Source organism: Homo sapiens, chromosome 15 (genome assembly GCF_000001405.40).
Source record: "Homo sapiens chromosome 15, GRCh38.p14 Primary Assembly".
NCBI classification, from domain to species: domain Eukaryota; kingdom Metazoa; phylum Chordata; class Mammalia; order Primates; family Hominidae; genus Homo; species Homo sapiens.
Window position 1 is genome coordinate 20,587,997 of NC_000015.10, and position 10,016 is coordinate 20,598,012.

General features: G+C 51.8%; 1 pseudogene; it reads right to left on the reverse strand.

Moving 5' to 3' along the window:
* On the reverse strand, window positions 5,367-9,352 carry SPATA31E2P (SPATA31 subfamily E member 2, pseudogene; annotated as a pseudogene).

Sequence of the window (10,016 nt, forward strand, 5' to 3'; positions counted from 1 at the left end):
GTTCTTCTCATCTGCCCTGGAGAGAGTGCTGCAGAAGCCTCCAACCAGAAACCACACCCAACAAAACCAAACCTAATAAAACCCCAGCTGTCTCAGCCAAAGAACCTGGAAAATAATGGCCTAGCAAGGAATACCCACCTGAGTGTAGCCAAACATCAATGGAAACCCCCCCTGCGAACACCATAGTTCAGTGAAATCAAGTGTGGAGCTGATGATCCACTTCACTTACACAGAGTGGAAGGAATCAGCAGTGCTCTGATTCCCTTGCCGGATGGTGTCAGTGGGGCCAAGAAGGGAGATAAATCTTCTGTCTCCCACATTGCAAAAGAAGGTGGCATTCTGGTATTTCCATTTTTTTTTTTTTTTTTTGAGACGGAGTCTCGCTCTGTCGCCCAGCCTGGAGTGCAGTGGCGCGATCTCAGCTCACTGCAAGTTCCACCTCCCGGGTTCACGCCATTCTCCTGCCTCAGTGTCCCGAGTATCTGGGACCACAGGCGCCCGCCACCACACCCGGCTAATGTTTTTGTATTTTTAGTAGAGACGGGGTTTCACCGTGTTAGCCAGGATGGTCTCGATCTCCTGACCTCGTGATCCACCTGCCTCAGCCTCCCAAAGTGCTGGGATTACAGGCCTGAGCCACTGCGCCCGGCCTACAGTTATCTTAAATATAAATTGTGTACATGTGTCAATTAAAATACAAGGAATATCAACCTGAACACGGAAACACGATACAAAAATACGTACGTTACTTATCTCAATTGATGCAGAAAGAGCATTTGCCAAAATATAGCACAGTTTTATGATAAAAACTTTCAGAAACCTAGAAATACAAGGAAACTTCCTGAACTTTATCAAGAGTATTTATCAAAAACAAACAGCTATGTCATGCTTAATGATGAAAGAATGAATGGTTTTCCCCTCAGGGTGGAAACAAGGCAGAGACACCTGCTCTCAACAATGCTATTTGACAGAGCACCGAAAGTTCTAGTCGGCACAATTGGGCAAGAAACAAGGCATACTGATTGAAAAAAAAGAGAAAGAAGGAAAGTGGCCTCTATTGCAGATTACACGATTGTCTTTGTAAAGTCTCAGAGAAACTAAAAAAAGTCTTGTAGAAATAATATTTAGCAAGTTCACAGGATAAATGATCCATCCTCCAAAATTCATCATATTTCTATGAACTAAAAATGAATGTGTGGAAACTGAATATACCTTTACAATTGCTCTAAAGAAAATACTTAGGCATAAATCTGACAAGACATGCAGAATCAAGATGGCAAAAATTACAAAATGTGCATGAATTGAGAGAAGAACTAAAATTCAAACATACCTTATTAATGGTTTGGAAGACTCACGATAGCAAATATGTCAACTCTCTTCAAATTGATGGGTAGACTTAATGACAGTCATATCAAAACACCAGCTACATATTTTTATGCATATAGATAAACCTATTTTAAGTTTATATGAAAAGGCACATGATACTGGTGGAGAGATGGACACATAGGTCAGCAGAACAGAATGAAGAACTCAGAAATTGACACAAGTAAATATGCCCAACTCATTTCTCATTTTTGACAATGGTACAAAAGTAATTGAAAGAGAAAGAATAGTCTTTTTAACAAATGTTACTGGAGAAAATAAACACAGGCTCAAAATCTCAGTGTAAACCTTGCACTTTATACACTAATTAACTAGAAATGGTTTGCAAACTTAAATATAAAAGGTTGTACTATAAACCTTTTAGGAAAAGAGTTCTAAAGAAGTTATTGGGATCTAGGGCTAGATAAAAGTCCTTTGTTCTTATTTACATGTATCTTTTAATTTTTTTTTATTTTCAGTAAAAGATCAATGTGTACGTGTACTTATTCTAAAAAAGAAAAAATGTTCAATGTGCTCTTCCAGGTTAATAGACAAATCAAATAGACTCACCTTTCTTTATGAACCCATAGTGTATCAGTGATCCAGCCATTATTGTTTTCCTGAGAGGAAAATTCTCTTTATGCTCATCACACTTTTGGAGCATTGAACCAGAGGGCCTAACGTGAGGTGAACACGCTGCCAGTGGAGGTGAGCAGGAAGGAAATTTCCAAACCCAAGAACTGACAGAAACTGCTGGAGAGAGAAAGTTACTTGGGCAAGTCTAGAGACCAATTGCGTTGTGCCCTTCTCTGTAGAATAATAAAAACGGAGTATTCAAGAAAAAAAATAGGACAAGTGATACTAACCAAATGATGTTACAACACACCCATGTCTGTATGTGTATACAGACCTATGCACATATACACACATAGATATGTGTAATATGTGTGTATTTATAACTGAGGTTAAACTGTTAGGCAATAAGAATGCAGTCCTATTTTTCTACCCTCTCTTTTCTAACATCTTTCAAACAGATGATGTTTTGTAAGATTTTCAATTATTTTCAATAATTAAAAAAATTTCAAACAGAACAAATATGCATGCTGAATTATTTCTCAATCCCCTGTTTTACATGTGGCTTTAAGTACGTGACCTGTTATATAGATATTTCAGCATCTTAGATGTTAAAGTAAACACATAGCTGCTCCTCATTTTTGGAAGGGTGTATTTACAATATATGTGTCTGATGCAAGTTGTATATTTAAATTACTTAAAAATACATCTTCTTTGGTAAGAGTTTTTAAAAATAAATTTGTGGCACATTAGAATGTTTTTAAGAAAAATTGCTTTTTAATTTGTATTATCTAAACTTCAGAATTTTACTCTGAAGTATTTCAAAACTTACAAGAATATTCATATTTGATCTATAAAATAAGTAACTTAGATGGAATAATTTGAATTTGGAAATTTCTTTATACCACTAAATTTGAAGTATCAATGCCACATTTATTTTTACAAATTTTCCTTGAAACATTATATTGGCTACTGGAAAGAGCTAATACCCTTTATGAAAATATGATTTTAGTGATGCAACTTATATATGAGGTAGATTAGGAAGCTTTACTTCCTGTGCCCATTAACTAAGAAGATTTTATGAAACAATTTTTAACAGGGGCCACAGTCAGTACCGGGAGTGTGGTCAGGTGGTCAGGCACGCCTCCCTCCTCATTGGGCCCACCAGAAGATTTCAGGGTTCTAGGAGAAACATACCCAGGCATGCAGAGATTGTCACAAGGGAGGAAGGGCCAGGGTGGGGAACCCAGCACAGGGGGCCTGCCCTCACAGGGGAGTCGGACAAGGTTTTCTGAGGAAGCTGTGTCCAAGCCGAGATCCTTCCCGCTCCATGTGCTCCAGCACAAGGCCTGCAGGAGGAGCCCTGTGAGCAAGGCCAACCTAGACCAGCCGGGTGGATTCCCTTGGCATTGAGGGGGAGCATGGCCTGAGGAGCTGAGCGCGGTCTCCGAAGGACGGCATCAGAGGAACTCTCACCGTTTCTATCATGAACACTTACAGTTTGACATCAGCATGGGAGTTGTGATTGGGTGATCTTGGGAAGGGTCTGTCAGCGGGTCGGGGGGTCGCTCTAAGTTGGACGCTGTCTGATAGAGGAGGCTTTTCTATTGTTCGGCATCTCATATCTCAAGGAATCTTATCTAGAAGAGGGCAGAGGGCCGCCAGGAGAAAGCCGCTGCTGGTAATGAGGAAGATGCTGCTCATTTTCACCAAGTGCAGTGCTAGGGATTTTAGCGGGTGGCAAAGTGACCTTGATATCTTTTCTCTGTGCAGGTCTCTGTTAGAGTCACTGTGAGTGTCTCTGTGGGGATCTCTGTGTTGGTTTTGAAGGGTCTCCGTGTGCGTCTCTGTCAGAGGTTTCTGTGGGGGGGTCCCTCTGGGGGGGTCTTCATGGGGGGGGTCTCAGTGTTGGGGTCTCTGGGGGTCACTGTGGGGAATCTCTGAAATCTCAATGAATGTGGGGTCTTTGTGGGAATCTTTGCGTGTTGGGGTCTACTGGGGGTCCCTGTGGGGTTCCTCTGCTGCAGGTCACAGGATCCTGGGTCCCATAGATGTTGGGCCCACACTGGAGCTGCCCAGGTCACCACCCCAGACAGGACTTGGCTCCAACAGTAGCCTGGACACCCAAAGTGACACCAGGGCGTGTTCGAAACAGGTCCCCGGTGTGGGTCCCGCCAGGCCTGGGTACAGACCTGACACCTTGTCCTCAGCCTCCGCAGCCCCTGCAGGTGCAGAGCTCTCCCTGGGCAGAAGGCCCCTGGGCAGAGCCCTCTGAGGAACTGGCTCCTGCCTGCCCTGCCCTTGCTCCTGCCTTCCCTGGGGATGGCCAGGAAGGACCCAGTACCAGGACGAAGGGAGTGCAGGACTGGGCCCTGTGGGGACTGTCCCTGCCAACCATGTGACCAGATTCTCTGAGCCCCAATGTGTCCCTTGCCAGCACCTGGGCCTGGAACCATAGATGTGCTTTGTAACCCAGGCCAGCCCTTGCCTTCTGGGTCCCCCTCCCCTGGCAGTGGCACTGACCACTTTTGCTTGTAATGGTCACCAGACTGCAAGGACCCTGGTTACAGCTGTGGGCAGCTTGTGGATCCTGCACTTGCAAACTTATGCTCGTCTTCCCTGATTCTTCTCCCACCTCTCACCCTGGGCCCCAAGGTCTCCTCCTGTGATTCCTGACCACAGAGTCCTTCCAGAGGGGCAGGCAGCAGCCCTAGGTGCCTCCTGAAACAGACACCCCACACTAGTGGGCTGGGAGACTGCCCTGGAGAGTGAGGCAGGGGACACCAGACATGAACCCAGGGGTGTTATCAAGCCTGAGCCAAGTGCTGGAGGGGCCCAGGTCCATCCCAGATCCGGAACTCAGCAGTCAGGAAAGGGTCTGGGGAGGGTGTCATCTCTTCCCCACCAGGAGATCCCAGAAAGAGCAGTCCCCCCTCTGACCCAGGGCCAGCACAAGACACCCCCTACATTCCCAGGCTACTGTGAGGCAGGGAGGCTGCTGGGATCCATCACTCCTCCAGCCTGAGGGGAGCCTACCACCCCCCAGTCCGTGACGCCCCTGTAGACCCATCCCCTACAGCAGCACAGAAGTCGCCTTAGAACAGGGAATGCAGTGAGCCAGAGCCCGGGTGGGATCTCCGTAAGGTTTGCTGTCCTTACATATCCTGAAGGCTCTGGGTCATGATCCAGTTTGGAAACCAGACACAGTGTGGGGACAGGGAGAAAAGGGGGTCCTCCAGGTCCCTGTCAGCTTCCTCTAGGCCCAGCCATTCTGGAAGCCGCACTCAGGAGGAGCTGACACTGAGCCCTTGCCTGCAGCCTAGCATGGAACAGACAGAAGCCACCACCTCTGCAGGGAAAACAGGTATATTGGGAACTTCTCCGTGGAAGTCAGGAACACATGGGGACTGTTGTCACCCACGCAGGACAGGTTTGTTGTGTAGGCGTCCAGTGTTATTTGGATAGAACCCCCTGTCTCCTCCAGGAGAGGTGTGGGAAGCCTGGTCTGGTTCAGGAGGCAAGACACCTCTGTGTAGACCTCAGTTCCTGCAGCTGTGGATGGGGCTGCCCGAGGTGCTTGCCACTCATGGCCTGTGGTGGTGGGGACCAGCTGGGGACACAAGCTCCCTGGGAGGTGGGGGCCCAACTGCTGTCTCTGTCTCTGATGCCCTTGTTTTTGACAGGACATTTGTGGCCCTTGGGGGTGGCTTTGGGGCTGCAGACCAGCCCCATCTCTCTGCTATGTTCCTGGTAGTAGTGACTCCTGTGGCAGCAGGAAGCCACATTCTCCTGGGCGTGGAGGTCGCCTTTGTGGCGACTGACCTCTGAGGGACCACGTCCCTGCTGAATCCCCAGTTTGTCCACCAGGATTTGCCCCATAACTCTGATGATGGTCTGGGCTTCATCAGCCATGCTGTCCATAAACAACCTTGCTGGGCCAGACCCCCAGCTCTGGACAGCATCTGCCCAGGCTTGCCTTTCTGCAGGACGTCTTCCTGCCCTGAGCCCCTCTTCCTGGGATGTAGACCCTGTGGACGGTGACTGATCTTTCTCTGGAAGTTGCTTTCTGGTGGTGCCTGTCCCTTCTCTGGCTGAGGCTGATTGTATTTCCTTTCTTGTTTGTCTCCTATTTCCCTCGTGTGGGCAGGGTGGCTCCTCCCACTGGCTTGGGAGGTCCTGGGTCCTTTGGACCTGTGTCCCTGCTCCCCTGGTCTGGGCCTCCTGTGGGCCTTGCCCTTGTCCAAAGAGCCCAGCATCTTCTGACTCTTCTGTGGGGCCTTCACTTTTGGGCTCCCAGGTTCCTGCTGCCCCAGTCTGTCCCCTCCCTTCCATAGGAGGGCACATGGCCCCTGGGAAGCTGTCGTGTTCCTCCTACTGAGCACACTCTGGGAGGTGGACAGAAGGGCCTAAGTGGGTGGCCTGTATGTGGCTGGGAGCATGTCCACATGGCGGCCTGGAAGGCACAGGCCTGTGGCGCCCTCCTGGAGGAGGATGCTGGAAACACGGCCTGGCAGCTGCTCCTCTGAGTCCACCTGCACTATGAGCGCAATCTCACTGACAACCTGTGCTTTCAGGCACAGCTGCCCTGGATCCTGAGCAACACAGATTGTAGACACTGAGGGGTTACTAGTGGTCCCCAGAGTCCCTGTGCTCCTCAGATCCACCTGAACACTTCCTGATCTTGCCCTCACACTGGCTCCCAAGGTGACTTTCCAATCAGGGGGCTTTTCCTCCTTGGCCTCCAGTGCCTCCAGGGCATCTCTGGCCCTTGCCCACTGGGACCCCATGCTGAGCTCTTGCAGGGCTCTGCTATGACAGGGGTCTCCTGGGGACATGCTCTCAGTCTCAAGCCATGCCTCATTCCCAGCCATTTCTGAACCCACACTCCCCTCGAGTCTGGGTTTCCCGGACCCCAGGACAGTCCCTCTCTGCCAGGTTCTGCCTACAAGGTTGCATATGGGGGACTGAGAAGATGCCCTGCCCTCCTGTCCAGTCAGAGAGGCCTCTGATTGCTCATGGGTGTCAGCTGACTGGGACCCTCTTGGGACCCTCTGGACTTCCTCCTGCTCAGTTGGTGGGGCAGGGACAGGGCCACTCATGGTGGGGGCTGACTTGCTTGTTGTTCTATTGTCTCCTGGACCATTCTGGGGAGGTTTTCCCGACAAAATGGCAACCTTGGCTACAGATTCAGCCAGAGATTCCCAGGAGGCCCAGGGGAGAATGGTGGAGTGTGGGAGGGGTGGAGGCTGAGCCTCCCCTGACTAGACATTTATGGGCTCTAAGGACTGAAGTTCTGGACCCCACCTGTGCCTCACACAGAACTTGAAAAGATGTGCTTCCAGCATCTGCTGGGTGCAGGGATGGAGGAAGGACAGCTCCTGGGAGGTGTTCACGTGGGCTTTCCCACCCCTCCAGGATGTCACCTTTCTCGATTTCCTGTGGGTGTCAGACTTGGGAATGGCATGTTTGGCCATGAATTAGGAGCGATGCACAGACACAGGGATCCAGCCCTCCTTGATCTCCCCCACCTTCCTGTCCAGATGGACCTGTGGCTTGTTTTCCAGATGCTGCTTTTCTGGGTCCCTGGGTGCAGAACTTACTGATTGGTACTTCCAGGGCCTCCTGAAATCACCTTCTGCTTCCTCCTTGTCTTTCTCCAGAACCTTCACTGAAGTCCTTCCTGAGCCTTGATCCTGGTTCTGGCTCTAGTTTGGACCCTAAGCACCCCTTCCCAGAGAACCTTCCAGAGCTCCTGAGCCCTGCTTTCTGCACATCCTTCGTGCCCTTTCCTACAAATTCAGAATCCCGGGAGGGCAAGAGGGCCCCCTGCGTGGCTTCTGCCTGACTCTGGGGCCTCCCTGGGAATTCCCCCTTAGGCTGCAGCAGGTCTCCAGGTGCCTTGAATCTGCTGGGAGGCCACGGGACTGCTCCTGGTGGATGGCACTCCTTCCTTGCCACCGGTGCTCTGGGAGCTCAGGGCTGGTGGCAATCCCGGGAAGGATGGGGGCTGACTTAGGGTTCAGGGAGGCTGGCCTCTCCTGGGGAAGGTGGGAAGTGGGCTGGCTCAGGACAGCCTGAGACTTTTTGAGGAGAGAGGGCAAAACCCTCTTCCACTTTGGTCATTTCTGCAAGGGCCACTCAAGATACTTTTTTCCAGTGGGGATGACAGACTGTGCCCTCTTCTGGGATGTAGGGCAAGATGCTCCACAGACCCTAATCTGGGGTGGAGAAGAGGTTGGGACAGGGGTTGAGATTTGCCCCACTGTGTCTGGATCCCAGCTAGAGGCGGGGGCTGGGACTGGGGCCAGGTTGGAGTGAAAGGTTGGGGCTGGGCCACGTGGTGGGGCTGGGGCCGTGCCTGGGAAAGCTGTGAGGGTGTCTCAACCTCAGTTTCACCTGGAAGGGAAGTGGAGGCTTTATCCGATGGTACAGAGTGCTCATTCTGTGAGGAAATGTTCCTAGAAACCCAGGCCATGGTCACCAGGGACTCGCTATTGAAAGAGGGGAGATCCCAGAAGAGATGGCTGCATTTCTGCTCTAAGTGGTCCCACATGGCCATGGCGTCAGAGACCTGCTGAGGATGGGGCAGCTTCTGTGGTAGGTTTGCCACGTTCCAGAAGGGATTTAGAGTCGTGATGTCCCACTCCTTCCCCAGTGATGTCATCTGCGGGTAGTCTGCCCACCCCCATTCTTTCTCCTGCCACATCTTCATCACTGCTCTCTTGGAGATGAGTCTCCAGCAGCTTCTGCACGTTGGGATGGAAGAATGTGCGGCCACCTGCCTCCATCTGCCTGGGTGTGGGGTCTCCCCAGAAGGAAGCCTCTGGGGGGTGGTTGGGAAGATGCTGTTGCTGGGATTTGCCCTGTGAGCAGGTGGAGAGGCCCCAGGTGGTGGCAGCCTCCCTCCAGCGGGAGAGGTCCCGGATGGGACCGCTGGAGCACCCAAGGCCAGAGATCACCCTGGTTGGAGAAGGTGGCCCCTGGTTGTGTAGAGGGGAGCTCTGGGGGACAGGGCGTATTGTGGAGCCACACTGAAGTCCAGCCAGGCTGTGTTCGGGTGGAGGTGGAGAGGAGGCCACGGGAACATGGGGCTGTGGTGAAGAAGGAAAAGCATATGTGGCCGGACTGCAGGGCATTTTAGGGGAAGCAAGGGCTCTGGAGGCCTGGAGGCACTCAGGGTTGAGCGTGGTCCAAAAGGCTCTGAGAAGGTCATTGTGTCTGGTGACAGGTTGGAGGCCAGAGGAACTGGGGGAGTCCTTGGGGACAAGCTGTCAGGAGATGGATCTTGCATGCATTTCCTATGCGGCTGGTGGGCCTTAGCAGGAGCTGGTTTGTACATATCACCCAGGGCTCTCCACCTAAGGGCAGATGGGAGCCACCCTCCCCAGTGAGCTTTCTCAGGTGGCTGCACAAGGCACAAGCTGCAGCCAGGGGCAGGTGGGGTTGGGAGGTCGGGAGGGCTGGGCACCTGGTGCCCACAGCTCCTCCACCTCCCCCACTGCTGGCTTCACAGAGCTCTGTCTGTGCCTGCCCAGGGCTTCAGTCCACTCCCGCCTCTTCCCAGGACCTCCCCCTCCCAGGTCAACACTGGACCCTGGGGCTGCCTCAGAGGCCCTGGTAGAAAGGACGACATGGAGAGAAGGGGAATCTCATCTTTCCAGAAGGTTGGTCAGGTCCTGAGTCTCCTCCAGCTCCCTCAGGAGGATTCTGCAAGCTGGAAGTAAGGAGACAGAGTTATGGCGGGGAGGGCGGTGCCAGCGAACCTCATGGGAGGCTGAGTGGTGGATGTCTCTTTAGGGGACACCATGGGGAACTAGACCCTGAAGCCCATGCATCTGTGTCCAAGGCCACATGGCCCCAATGGTGACAGCAAGGTGTGCATTGTGCAGAACTTTGTCATTTGCAAAAAGTGCTTCCATGTACAACCCCTCATGGGTGTCACAACCATCTTGTGGGGAGAGTGGATGGGGTGGTCTCTAAGAAGAGTCAGCCATGGCCGAGGAGAACAGCTGTCCACGTGGACCTGGGGTCTCCCTGACCTCCCCCCATATCCTGGCAGGCCTTGGTCCCTTCCCCACAGC